General features: G+C 42.1%; 1 protein-coding gene across 11 annotated transcripts in view; it reads left to right on the top strand.

Moving 5' to 3' along the window:
* The window catches only part of TMEM132B (transmembrane protein 132B), a 475,992-nt gene extending 461,641 nt beyond the window's left edge, over positions 1–14,351 (top strand). For 9 of the 11 annotated variants that reach the window (XM_047428243.1, XM_047428241.1, XM_047428240.1 and 6 more), the window contains 3 exons: positions 2,657–2,927; positions 4,415–4,606; positions 5,539–14,351. In XM_047428243.1, coding sequence (XP_047284199.1) covers positions 2,657–2,927; positions 4,415–4,606; positions 5,539–6,684 — 1,609 coding nt within the window. In that variant the 3' untranslated portion in view covers positions 6,685–14,351. The remainder of the gene's footprint in view (positions 1–2,656; positions 2,928–4,414; positions 4,607–5,538) is intronic. The other 2 variants (NM_001366854.1, NM_001286219.2) reach the window with 1 other exon arrangement.
* Positions 14,352–14,598: the final 247 nt, after the last annotated feature.

Genomic DNA, 14,598 nt, shown 5'->3' on the forward strand with positions numbered 1-14,598 from the left:
ATATCTCCCAATGCTACCCCTCCCCCCTCCCCCCACCCCATCACAGTCCCCAGAGTGTGATATTCCCCTTCCTGTGACCATGTGATCTCATTGTTCAATTCCCACCTATGAGTGAGAATATGCGGTGTTCGGTTTTTTATTCTTGCGATAGTTTACTGAGAATGATGGTTTCCAATTTCATCCATGTCCCTACAAAGGACATGAACTCATCCTTTTTTATGGCTGCATAGTATTCCATGGTGTATATGTGCCACATTTTCTTAATCCAGTCTATCATTGTTGGACATTTGGGTTAAAAGCGGTCAGGGTAATGGGACTTACAGGGAACTAAGGTATCTACACTCAAAGTAGCAAAGCTTTGGTATCATTAGACTGTAATAAGTTATGCTTGTATGTTAATAAGCTCTATGTATACCATTGCCAATTTCCTGGTTTTGATATTTTCCTATAGTTAGGAAGATGCTAACTTCAGGGAATTGCATAAAGAGTGTATAAGATCTCCTGTTTTTTTTTTTTTTTCTGTTGTTGTTGTTGTTTTAGCTTTTAGTGAATTTCTAATTATTTTGAAATTAAAAGTTTAAATAAATGAATAGGATACAATCTATCCTAAAATAACAGGATTATTTTGTTTCATTACTACAGGATTTATAACATCTGATGTATTCATTGACCATTGTTATGATACTGCCACATTTTAGTGAAACACAAGCCTAGTGGTGTTCTTCTTAAATTTTACCCATTAATTTAAAGGAAACTTCCCATTGCTAGCACAAATGGTCAACTAGTGTCATTTATCATAAAATAAATTTAACCTAAAATTATTGCAAAGAAAATTAAACAATGTTGTTAAATTCTGAGTAGACACTATTGCCTGCCTATGTGAGCTTGTCTTTATTAACTAAAGGAAAGTAGTTAGTTCCGAGAAGCTTTAAAGACATCCTAGCACAGAACAGAGACATTCCCTGTGACATATTCAGAAGGACTGGAAAATAAAATGGGAATAACTTTTCAGTATGTTATTCAATTTTTTTAATTGAATGCTATGTTTCTTTGCCACCTAACACCATCTCTCTTACTCACGGAGATACTCATTTCTTACTTTGGGAAACCAAAATTGTTATGCTATTGTGCTGGTGAAAATTTTTCTACCATTTTATAAATGGTTCTCAGACCTTTCAGGGAGGCGGAATGTCATATAGTAAAGAAGGTGGGTTTCAGAAGTCAAATGGAGCTGTATCCAGACCTGCTAATTGCCAGCTATCTGGGCTACATATTCACCACTCTGAGCCTGGTTTCTTTATGCAAAAATAAGAACATGTTTCATAGCTGTTGTGAAGATGAATGGACTTAGCTATAGAAAGGAAGAGGACACACATGATGGGGCAGCTGGTCTGGCTGTGTGGGCCCTGCCTCGGGAGACAACCAGCTGTGTGGCCCTGGCTGAGTGGCCGCACAAACCATGTCTTGGTTTCCTCATTGGTAAGATCAGGGAAATAATTCAACCTTGCTCTTTGGGGGTGTGTGAAGATTACATGAATTAAATATGCACGGCTGTTGTGTGCTGCGTGGGCGATGGATGTCCGCTCTCATCATTATGTAAGCACGTGGAAGAAGACACACAGTAGGTCTAATTCAGCATGCATGAGTCACTCCCCTTCCCCCCTTCTCCCCTGACAGAATCCCCAGGCACTGAGGGCACAGACTGGTCAGTAGTCACCAAACAAAGCACTCTCATAAAGGGACACAGGACTGCTACTTCTTGAGGGGAACGTTCTGGAATTGCAGAGCCAGAGAGACTTTCTCAGGGTGGATTGTGGACAGGTGGAGGTTAGAGGATAACAGGTGCCAGGGAGAGAGGAAGGGTCAGAGCCATAAGGAAGGAAGGGAGAAGCCAGGATGGGCAACAGGAGAGACACATTTCAGATGTTTTAGCAGTAGCTTGAGCAGGTTTGCTCACAGAGCAGTGATTTTAGATTAGGGTAGGATGGTGGAAGGAGAGGATCCTTTGGCAAACTTTAGGGCCATAAGCTCAGGAAGTTGCTTCTTTCTGTACAGACTCAAGGACCTCAGCTGATGAGGAGGTCGGGTGTTAGAACCGTCCACTGCTGATGGTTCCTGGTTGGTCTGGGGTTCCTAAAGGGCCATTTCTGAGGTGTCATCATATCTTGACCTACTTGGTCCTCATGTGGTACTATGAGAGAGGAAAGGGGCCAGCTGTTCCTATGTTCATTTCCAAGGGGAGGTAGCTGAGCCTGTGAGAGGGTAGAGAACTTGGCATGAGGTCCAATGGGAGGGGTCAAAATGAATCCAAACAGCAGTTCTGACTCATATCTTAGGTTCCTCCATCCCACAGGGGAATGATTTTAAAATTACCAGTTTCCAGGACGCCAAGACCAGAGCCTCAGCCTCTGTCTGGGTCAGGAAGGCAGGAGCTGCCCTTGCCATTCTTGTTGCAAGCAGAAAGCACATCATCCTCATCAAAGTGTGCTTGTGGAATGAGTGAATGAACTGGGAGTGGATAGATGGCTGAGCAGGTCCTGCAGGAGAAGGACCATTTCATTTCATTCTGTGGGCTCACCTAGAATCTGAAAAACAAGGGCATGCAGAACTTCTTAACAATGAAGACTTTGTTCTGTTTCGATTCCTTGTGCTCCAGGCCTACCCGGGAAAGCGATGACGAGGACGATGAGGAGAAGAAGGGACGAGGCTGCTCCCTGCAGTACCAGCACGCCACAGTGCGTGTCCTCACCCAGTTTGTGGCCGAGTCACCTGACTTAGGGCAGCTGACCTACATGCTGGGCCCCGACTGGCAGTTTGACATCACTGACCTTGTGACCGAGTTCATGAAGGTGGAGGAGCCGAAAATCGCTCAGTTACAGGACGGCAGGACCCTGGCTGGTCGGGAGCCGGGAATAACCACGGTGCAGGTACACGCCGCCATGCCTTGCCCAACAGCAGTCTGTGTTGATGAGTGGCCAGGTAGATGCTGTTGTGCAGATGTGTGTCTGTGTGCACATGTGCATGTGGACATGTATATCAACGTGTGTCACTGTGCATGTATTGCCTCTGTTTGTTTGTAAGAGAATCCTGGGAAGCAATAGAGCATTCACCAATTTTAATAACCTAAACTCAGATTAATTTTTGTATTTTAGAGGCTTTAGAAAAATATCTAATCCCTTTTACCAAGAAGGCTAAATGAAACATGTAGTGTAAATAATCTTTTCCCCAACATCATATTCTCCATTTTGTGTATCACCAATAGAAGGTGGTTATACTGCTGAAAGCTAGTGTTTTTCCTCCTAACCTTGAATTTTAACCTTTTAGTTGTATCATACCTTGTACAGTAGACAAAAGTTTTTAAAAATATAATAATCCGTAGCTATTCTTTATCACAGTGATAGTTAAATTATTTTCTAGCCAATTTGACAGGATAATTATGCAGAAATGGTGCAGAATATTTCTTTATACAAACTTAAAATGTTTCCGCTCAGAGTTAACTAAGTCAGATTTTATTGTAGCCAAAGCTATATTTTTGGCAAAGCTGGATGAAACATGGTATGTTCTGTGTTTTCTATTCTTGTGTGACAAATTACCACAAACTAGCAGCTTAAAAAACACCCGTTAGTCAGCTAATATTTCTGCAGGTCAGGCATCTGTGTGGGCCTGCTGTATTCTGTGCTCAGGGCACCATGAGGCTGAACTCCAGGTCTCGGCTGGCCTGGGCTCTTATCTGGGAGTTTGGGGAAAGGCTTGGCTTCCAAGCTCCTTCAGGCTGTTGGCAGAACTTAGTTCTCTGTGATTTTAGGACTGACCAAAGTCCCTGTTTCCTTGCACTCTGTCAGCCAGGGGTCACCAGGGGTCACTCTGCTGCAAGGCCACCTGTATTCCTTGTCACGTGGTCCCTTCCGCCTTCAGTAATGGCTGGATGGAGTCCTTCTCACACTGTGAATCTCTGGCTTCCCCTTCTGCCCCTAGCCAGGAAAAGGTCTCTGCTTTTAAGGACTCATGTGATTACATTGGGTCCACCTAAGTAATACAGGATGCCTGCCCTGTTTTAAGGCCAGCTGTGCCATTCTAAATATTAGTTGTTGGGAAAATGTTGCTCTTTGAGTACCTAATATCAATGGACAGTTTTTTATTATTGCCTGTAAGTTAAATCAAGATTCTTTCAGAAAATATACTGCTGTTATCATGACATAAATCAGAGGAAAGTAAATAGACCAAGATGATCTTTATAAAACTCCTGTAATTGTGAAGTGTGATTGAACAACGGCATAATACTTCCCTAACCGATTCCCACAAATGCATGCATTGAGCCAAGGGCTGGGAGAGCACTTTGTTGGGAGCCCCAGTTAAGGGATTCATGGTGCTCATGAGGAGCAGAGATGCATGAGTCTCCTCGCTGACTTTTCAGGTCCTCTCGCCGTTGTCTGACTCCATCCTGGCTGAGAAGACGGTGATTGTCCTGGATGACCGAGTCACCATCGCGGAGCTGGGAGTGCAGCTCGTAGCTGGCATGTCTCTCTCCCTGCAGCCACACCGAGCAGACAAAAGGGCCATCGTCTCCACAGCTGCTGCCCTGGATGTTCTTCAGTCCCCACAGCAGGTGAGCGTTCCAGGGGCCCTGCGTCCTTGGTCAGTGGGGATGACTTCTCTCTCAGTTAGCACATCCTGCGAAGGAGAGCAGGAGAGCCCTCACGCCTAGGACTGGGGATTCTTGAAGCTTCTTGCTTCTTATCCAGGCCACCCTGTCTCTGAGAAAAGTATTCAGTGGCTTAGACACATTTCCTCTTATGTGCTTTTCCACGCTGACCACATCCTTATACGCCATTTGCTTTCCCCTGGGCTTATCTGTGACAGGCACAGCCTGCTGCTAGACCATGACCAAAGGATCACGTGTTTTCACTTTTGCCAAAGCAGGTGGTTTTTGATACTTGGAAATTCCATTTCAGCTACTTAAGCATGGCTAACAGGCACCAAATTGCTACTGTTTACAATAAGTATGGTCAACTCTAAAACGTCCTCCCATCTCTAAACTTCTATAAATTATTTCTAAAGATACCAGAGCCACTGTACCATTCAAGCCAGCCAGCCTCACAATGCACCTTCCCGAGTCCTTCCAGCCAGTGCATGTTTTGCTCCATCACCACTGGCTTCTTAATGAAGAGTGTTCAAAGTGATATTATCTTGAGCAGTAGCCTGATTTGTTGCACCTGAAATTGATTCAGATAAATTGCCTGATCTTTCAAAATGTTTTTAAAAAGGTCAAAGTCAAATTCTATTGTATGTATGCAATAAATTAATTTATAGTTTAATGCAGTCATTAAAGTATATTATTTATTCCTTGTACCAGTGAGGCTACAGCACATTATTGATGCCGGTTCAACCAGTTCAAGGCATAACAAGAACTGTTCAAGATTATAAAACTATAGAAATCTTCTCCTTATATTTAAACAATTTATATAGGAAATTATACTTATGTTTTCAAATGTGAAGGAATCTGATTATAACATAATGCTTTGGTTTCATTTTCCTCAGGAAGCAATAGTAAGTTCTTGGATTTTGTTCAGTGATGGTTCGGTGACACCTTTAGACATTTACGATCCTAAGGATTATTCTGTTACTGTCTCATCATTGGATGAAATGGTGGTGTCTGTCCAGGCAAACCTTGAGTCCAAATGGCCAATTGTGGTTGCAGAGGGTGAAGGACAAGGGCCTTTGATTAAGTTAGAAATGATGATAAGTGAACCTTGTCAGAAGACCAAGAGGAAGAGTGTTCTTGCCGTGGGTAAAGGAAATGTCAAGGTCAAATTCGAACCAAGTAGTGATGAGCACCAAGGAGGCAGCAATGATATTGAGGGCATAAATCGGGAATATAAAGACCACCTCAGTAATTCCATAGAGCGCGAAGGAAACCAGGAGAGAGCAGTCCAGGAATGGTTCCACCGTGGCACACCTGTTGGCCAAGAGGAAAGTACCAACAAAAGCACAACCCCCCAGTCTCCCATGGAAGGGAAGAATAAGTTACTCAAAAGTGGTGGTCCAGATGCCTTTACAAGCTTCCCCACTCAAGGGAAGTCACCGGACCCCAATAATCCTAGTGACCTCACAGTGACCTCAAGGGGGCTAACGGACTTGGAGATTGGCATGTATGCCTTGCTCTGCGTCTTCTGTCTGGCCATTCTGGTCTTCTTGATCAACTGCGTGGCGTTTGCCTGGAAATACAGACACAAAAGGTTTGCTGTGAGTGAGCAGGGCAACATCCCCCATTCCCACGACTGGGTCTGGCTTGGGAATGAAGTGGAACTTTTGGAGAACCCTGTTGACATTACACTCCCATCAGAGGAGTGCACAACCATGATAGACAGGGGCCTGCAGTTCGAGGAGAGGAACTTCCTTCTGAATGGCAGTTCCCAGAAGACTTTTCATAGTCAACTACTCAGACCCTCTGACTATGTCTATGAGAAAGAAATTAAAAATGAACCTATGAATTCTTCGGGCCCAAAGAGGAAGAGAGTCAAGTTCACTTCCTACACCACCATCCTCCCAGAGGACGGCGGCCCATACACCAACTCCATCCTGTTTGACAGCGATGATAACATCAAGTGGGTCTGCCAAGATATGGGGCTGGGGGATTCACAGGACTTTAGAGACTATATGGAAAGTCTGCAAGACCAGATGTAAACTCCTTTCTTATGTTTGTATTCACCTTTATGCCTTCTGTTTTTTGAATGCTGGAGCAGTGAGTTTGATCAGCAATAGGGGATGATTTAACAAAGTTTGATTTGTGGAGGTCTGGTGGGATTCATTTCTAAGCAGGTAAAAGAGGTTTGGAGAGCTATAGAAGCTGGGTTTTAAGTTTGGAAATGCCTCTAAAACAGCCACATGTGGGGACTGGAGAAATTCTAAGACAACAGTTTTATGGACTGCCTGGTACGAGCTCAGTGCAAATGTATTAAACCTGACCCCACAGACATTGTTAGTCATCTCGTGACAAATGGCCATGTGGAATTAGAAAAGATTTGGGTGTTGATTTTTCTATTTCTAGACCTTTTAAAGCACAGTGGACACTTATTGCCCCTTGGCCTGAGTTTAGACATACATGAAAGATGACTGAATGTAGCTATCCTGATTTGTCATGAGCGCTGCTCATTATTTTTATATACATTTGCACCTGCACCTGTTCCTTTGACCTCTGGAATTCTTTTTGAAACATGAAGAGAAGAAATTTCAGTCTTTTCCTTGAGCTCTGTTTGATTTACACATGAGTTTTCTTCCCTGGGATTTGCCATGCCATGTTATTTCCTGGGTCTCCATGCAGGATGTCAGGTTTTTCCAGTTTTCTGCACTTCATCATCTAGGGATGGTATCCAAGAAGCTTATTCTCACTTTGTTTTTTCCTTCCTTTTGTTGTTGAACTTTCTTGTATAACACTGGGACAAAGGGTTTTACTTAAAATGTTAATATACAGTGAGGGAGGGCCATCTCTTTACTGTTTTCTATGTGAAGTTTCAAACATTTGGAAAAAAGTTGTCAATCACAAACATTTATTTTTATTCTCTGCTTGTTGAAAACTCATGGGGAACTCCTGGAGTGCATTTCTGAGGGTAAAAAGGCCCCAACATAGCTGTATTTATACAAGTGCTTTGTGGCCAACACAATTTACTATCCAAACTGAAGTCTTAAAGTAGAATTGACCTACACAGAAAGGAAATTGCCTAGGCAATAGATGCAGATTACACTTTCCATTTTACCAGAACAAAAGTTTTTTTTTTTTTAAATAAGTAGAATGACAGTTCAAGTTAGCAATATATAGAAATCCATCCATACAATGACCAAAATAAATAAATAAATAAAACTCAATCATGACTTTGGCAGAGATAAAACATTGACAAGGGTGTGCATTTGTGGAGAGAAGCAGTGGGTTTCCCCCCAAAATCCATACAAATAAATGACTATTCCAGAACTCAAGAAGCAGCTATTATAGAAAAAAAAATTAAAAACCACAGCTATTGAAAAATTAAAACGGCAAGAGAAAAAAAGAAACAACTCCTGCATAATGTTTAAATAAAAATGTTATTTTAATAGCATCATGAATGGTCTTAAGGCAAAAATTTCAGATTAGCAAAATGTGATGACATATTTATTAAGATTGTATTATTGGAAATGTAGACACTGGACTAGTATGCCTCATTATGAGCTTTACTGAGCCATTTGCATCTCTAAGAAATATGATTTTAAAGGCCCAAAGTAGGAAGGATCTGCAGGGGGTCACCTGAAGCAGTGCCCTGACTCCAAATGGCTGATAACTGAGCTAATCCAAGGAGAGGCGTTCAGTTGTTCTCTTATTATAGATTTCCTTGGGTGGGAACATGACAACCCCGCCTCCTCTAGCCATGACGTGGCAGCCAAAAAGTTCTTCCTGTATCTCTGGCCCACAGGACTGTAGTGTGTTTGGGAACAGTGCTGAAATTGCAAGTGATGTAGGCCTGACCTCCAGAGCCCAGCGTTCAGTTAGTTGTATAAAATGGGGCTTAGGAACCGAAGCTGATGAAGTTCCAAAAGTAGTTCAGTTTGATGGGATAAGGAAGCAAGGAGAGCCAGGCATTAGCTGCAAAAGGAGCTTGCAGAGAGATGGCTGACACTTTATGGGAAGATTCCTCAGTCAGCCAAAAGCTTTTCAAAGAGTTTGGTGCAGAGGTAGCTCAGAGCCAACCATCCAGGACCGAAGAAAGCTCATGTGCTGATTGACACATAGCTATCCAGGTGAGTCGGCTCCTTCTATGAGGCTTTTCAATCGTCTCTCCCTTTGGATCTCTGGCATTCCAGAAAGACTGGGAATTCATTTCTGAAAATGATGAACCTCCGCTGAAACGGGGAGGAAATCTCTTACACACATACAGCAGGGTCCTGCCCACTGGTAAAGTGAGACGTTGGGTAGGGGGTGTAACTGGGGAGGAGGTGAAGGAAATTATCCCTGCCATGGGGAGTGTTATTCAGGAACATAAAAATTAGAGCATTCCCTCTGATGGCAGTGCTTGACGGGGTGCAGGGAACAAACTGGGGAGCGTTCAAACATGCCAGTGGTTTCTCAGCAGGGCTGGAAACTGGCCACAGTCCTGAAGATGCTTCTTGTGACAACTTAGAGTCACTGGGAGTCACACAGCTCCTGTGTAGCCGCCTTTGCTCCTCTGTGTTAAAACCCAGTCAGTTCAAAATAACAATCAAATGGAAGGCCATGGGGGAAGGGTTCCTTCCACCATATAACCCACACCCAGATGTATATAAACGCATATACATACATATACCCGTGTGTGTGTGTGTGTGTGTGTGTGTGTGTGTGAATACTGAAGAGCCAGACAACAAACTATTTAGTAAGAATCAACAGTGACTGTCAATTGTTCTCAGATTTGGCATGGATACTATTTCTCATGAAATAATGTCATTAAAGTATTTCCTCCTCTAAATATTTCCTGAAGATCATAAACCATGGGTTATAGCACCTTGTTTTCCAGCTAGTCAATATACAACTATTAGGTGCTGTGCCCCAAAATATCTAAAATGGGGGTAAAGATATAAACTATTAAGCCATGAAATCTAATTTTCTGGGGACCATGCATTTGCCTGGATTTTCCAGGATTTTATGGCTGATAGACCCAAATTATTAGTCTTGATAAACAACCTGAACCAAACATTTATAAAGTCCCTTCCTCTCCCATGGGAATGGAATGCTCAGACTCCTGCTGAGGGAGACACCAGCAAGCCTCTTGAGAAGGCACCAGACAGTGAACTCTGTGGTCACATGAAGGGAGGTTCAGATGCTAGACGACCAGCGTATGACCTGGAACCATTGAGGATTGCAACCGCTGCCTCCAGGGTCCAGATGTGCTGCAGTAGAGGGCAGAGCACAGGAATCAAGAAGCAGCTGCCACACCAAAGAACTGATGCTTAAACACACAGGTGTGTTGCATTTGAGAGAAGGCAAGAAGAAAAGACAATAGAAGGTTACCCTGGAAAAACAACACCTAGCAAACCTCAGAATACTCCATGTGTCCCAAGAGAAGGAATAATTGTCTTTCTAGCTGTTATATATTGCACACTGGCCAGGATAAATTCCCAGACTATAATAATCCTGACTATGTAGACGGAAGTTTCTATTTATAAAGTCATGCAGGGGGAAAGTTGATTAATTTTTGTCCCATTGCCACATCTGTAGACTAAGTAATTTTTAACTTGCTAACTTTTAGAATGTCCACCTTTGTGCATTTTGGTAGCATTCTTGTTTCATTATTTTAGAAAGGGGTCTTCCCATTACTGGGATGTCGGGGCCCTGTCAGAGAACTATTATTAAGGCTCTGTGAGGGAACTGTTCAGTCTCACAGCAAGGACCACAGAGCGTGGTTTCATCTGAACCCTACAAGTCAGGGACACCAGTGTGTTTTCTACTCGAGTTACCTAAAAATGGTCTCAATTTTCCATTTCATTCTCTGTAAATGACACAATAGATGGTTTATAGACTCAGCAGCCCTCACCTTTTATTAAAATTATATATGTGTGATGTAATGCATATCACCTGTCATGTAAAGGGACGGTATGGATGGTGGAAAAGTTATGCTAAAATATGGATTGCAGATATTTTTGTATGTAATATAGGCAATATAATGAAACACCGAGTTTTTTAAAGTGAAAGCATGCAAAATCGTAGCTTTTAAATGTACAGACATCCCACTCAAAAATATCTAAACTGATAGTGGGAAAAACATTTGAGACCTAGTAACATCATGAAATGCACTGAATTTGGAATTCTGGCCTAGAAAGGCTGTGGCTTATGTTGGGATTGATGATGGAATCTGCCAGAACATTTTCATCTTATTCTTCTTGACTTTTGGATTTTTTTCTTTTCTTTTTTTCTGGAAATATTTCGGAAATAAAGTGACTTCATTTTTCAGCATAAAAGTATATTCTAACCACAGGGTAACACATCGTTTTTAACATGAAAATAAACATTTAAACATTCTTCAGTTGTTTCATTATTTTATCTGCATGTTCCATAAAGCAGCTGTATGGTTGGCTATAATATAGATTTATTTTTTCTTTTCAGCCAGAGATTTTAATACCCTTGATGCAGTAATAAATGGACATCAAAAGAAAACATTTCTTAAAAGTTGCCAACGTATTTTACCTTGAAAACATTTCTTATTTGTTATCCTAGTAGGCTGGGGAAAGCTTCTCTCCAGATGTCTCAGAAAAAGATCTCCTGTTTCTCATGGCCCCGTCCAGGGTCAAACCATGTTGAAAGTCAGTGCTGAAATGCATGATGCTGCGGGTGTTTGAGAGCCTTTGACCTCTGTCCACCCTTTGGTCTTTGCTCGTCAATGGCTTGGTCTTGTATATGTATCTGGGGCAGGGGCTTTGTACTGGGCCCAGGGTGCTGAGCTTTCCAGAACAGGCAGAGCTCTAGAGACCTAAGAAAACCACAGGACAGGCGGGGATTCTTTTTGAGAGGCTGAAGTAGATGTTTCAGCTGAAAGATGGGTGGTACACTTGCCAAGTGCCTAGAGGGGCTAGAGGCTCTCTGTTGGTGTGTGTGTATTTCTTGAAACTGCAGAGTCATTTTTGGCATGCTGGCAAATGCTACTCCTTGCTTTTAGGATGAATAGGGATGCCTCTTTGGCGATAATTTGACGTGTCATAATAAATGCCCAATACCAAACCTAGTCTTTCTCCAGGCCCTTCAGACATCATTCAGGTAACTGGGTGTAAACACAGGAGTTGGCTTTGTGAAACTGAGGCAGGATTTCCTGCCTCTAAACTATTGGCAGCAAAAGAGCCAAAAATGTGCTCCCAGGTGCAAAACCCCAGCCCCATCAGAATTGCTTCTCAGCACTTTGGGTAACTGTTTTGCACTAACAGCTTCCTCCTTGTCTTTTCCCTGGGAACATGGGAGCACTGACACAGAACTCAACTGGTCCAGCCCTTTGGGAGGCCCAGGTGGGCAGATCACCTGAAGTCAGGAGTTTGAGACCAGCCTGGGCAACATGGTGAAACCCTGTCTCTACTAAAAATACAAAAATTATCCAGTCGTGGTGGTGCATGCCTGTAGTCCCAGCTACTCTGGAGGCTGAGGCAGGAGAATCACTTGAACCTGAGAGGTGAAGGTTGTAGTGAGCCAAGATCGTACCACTGCACTCTGGCCTGGGCAACAAGAGCGAGACTTTGTCTCAAACAGAAACAAAACAAGAAAAACAAAAAGAACTTAACCAGTTCTCCCCAGATCTCAGCGTGCATGCATATATAGAGTTTAGTAAAATGTGTTTCAAAAAAAGAAGGATAAAAGAAAGTTTGAAGTAAGATTTGTAAAAGAATGAACACTTTAGGTTTTGTGTGTGAGTGCAAAATGTAAACACGGCATTTGAAATTTTTTGGTATTGAAATCCTTAATGCCTGTTAGTTTCTTTATGGTTTTATACAATTGAGATAGGTTCTGAAGTTTTTTTGTTGTTTGCTTTTAGAAATTTTTAAAAATACAAAAAAAAAGCGCAGAAACATTTTCATCTGGGTTACTGTGTTTATAGACTATTCTATGACTCAAGACAACTAGGACACCATCATTTTCCAGATAAGAAATAACAGTTCAAGTTCATTAGGGAAATTATCTTCCCAGTCCAAGCAAGCAATAATGTTATCAACTTACAATATTGGACAATCTTCATATTCTATGAGATGCCTTTAAAATTTCTTTGGATTTAATGCTGCTCTTGGTCAGTTGTTCAAATGAAACATTGTAATTTCATGTTAACGACAAGAGTCTCACGGGAGTCTCTTTAGATGCTGCAGGAACTGAGAGGATAGAAGACCTCTCTATACATCTACATTGCCCATTGGAGTAAAGCACTTTACAGAGAGATGGATGCCGCTTTGGGATTTGGGGTCTATGTAATGCTGATTTTTTTCAAACCTGTTTGGAAATATTACTTCTTTGGGATGGCTGAAATAACTTTTGACCTGACACATCTTTCTGTACTTCCTGTGGCCAAAAAAGCAAGTGAGACTTTCTGTTTCCCATTGTAAGGCTGGAGCTGAAATAGTCTGCCACGTTATTGTTATCTCCTTTGTAAGAATTTGACTTTCTGAATGAAATAACAGAATGCCAGTGTCAACACTGACCATATGATATAGTTATTTCACTTAGAGATGCTTCCTCAAAGAGCGTGCCTTTTTCCTCCATCATAACCGCTTTAGGATCTCTGTTTTATCCATGTATTTCCCACATAGTAGAAGCATTTTCCATTTCCATGAATATTACAGGCTGAGAAGGAGCACACATCTGGCACTGATAAGCACACTGGCCCAGGCACTCAGCCTTCTCATTTCATTAATCTGGTTGGTGACCGTTTCCATCGGGCACACCTGGAAATGTCCATCGGACATATTGCCATCTCAGTTGCTGCAGTGCAGTGAATTACCCCAGAGCCACCAGTTCACATGCCCAAAGATGAACTGGCCCATGGAGGGACTTGATTGCCAAGTGACTTCCTTTCTGTAGTTATCCTCTGCTGTGACCCTTATTTTGGACTTCTAGCAAGGGCATTCAGTGTGGATTCCAAGAACAAAACCAATTGTCCAACCTCCATTACAGGGGTCTTCTAGGTATTCCCCACACATTATTTGTGGGCATAAGCAAACACCATAACTATGAAAGGCTGAGAGTGGAGAATTAAGTCATAAGGAAATGATCAAACCTAGGGAAAAATAAGTGGCTATAAAACACTGAAAGATAGTCACATCCACATAGCGTGTATCATGCAACAGACCCGTGCTCTTAGAGGGAGGTAGTGTGTGTCTTCCCATGGCAAATAATTTTTACAATACTGCTCATGTTTAATGTGTGTCTACAGGGCATGCTGTTGTCTCAAAATTGAAATGTGCATCTTAGGTATCAGTTCCCAGCCTCAGACTCTTCTCAGGCAGGTGGACCGGATCTCAGCTGCAGAACATAGTGAGTGGCCAAACCTACACAGCCCAGCCAGTAGTGTGCTTTGGGGTGATTGCAAGGCAGCAAACAGTGGGGACAAGTTTTGTCTGGCATTTGAAAAGGTGTTATCCCTTACTTTCCACATTTCTGAATTGGATTCTTGTTCCCTGGTAAACACCAGATATTATAAACAGAGCATGCTGTTATGACATTGTGCTTCTATATACCTTTTTGTATAATGTATCTATCTCATTATATTACCTATGGTTTCAGTATGATCTGTTGTGTATGTTCCACCGTATATTTAATGTCTCTGTAAAGGCACTTCCAAACATTTTGAAAACGAAGAAATAAAACATGTTGGATGATTCCTTGTTATAGTAAAACAATTAATTGGTAGGTTCCAGGAAATAATCTTTTCTTCAAATAGGTGTTCAGAGGTAGATATTTAGATGTCCTTAAGTCTGGCATAGAGGAAGCTATGTCTTCAGGTTCTTGATGGCAGTTATGGGCTGAGACCTTGAGAATAAAGGAAAACAATGGCTTATTTAAGCATAAGGGCAAGATTCCCAGAGAAATGGGCTGGCTCTTGAGCCCCAAAGAAAATACTTTGGCAAAACATC

This window comes from Homo sapiens, chromosome 12 (assembly GCF_000001405.40).
Source record: "Homo sapiens chromosome 12, GRCh38.p14 Primary Assembly".
In the NCBI taxonomy this organism is placed as follows: Eukaryota; Metazoa; Chordata; class Mammalia; order Primates; family Hominidae; genus Homo; species Homo sapiens.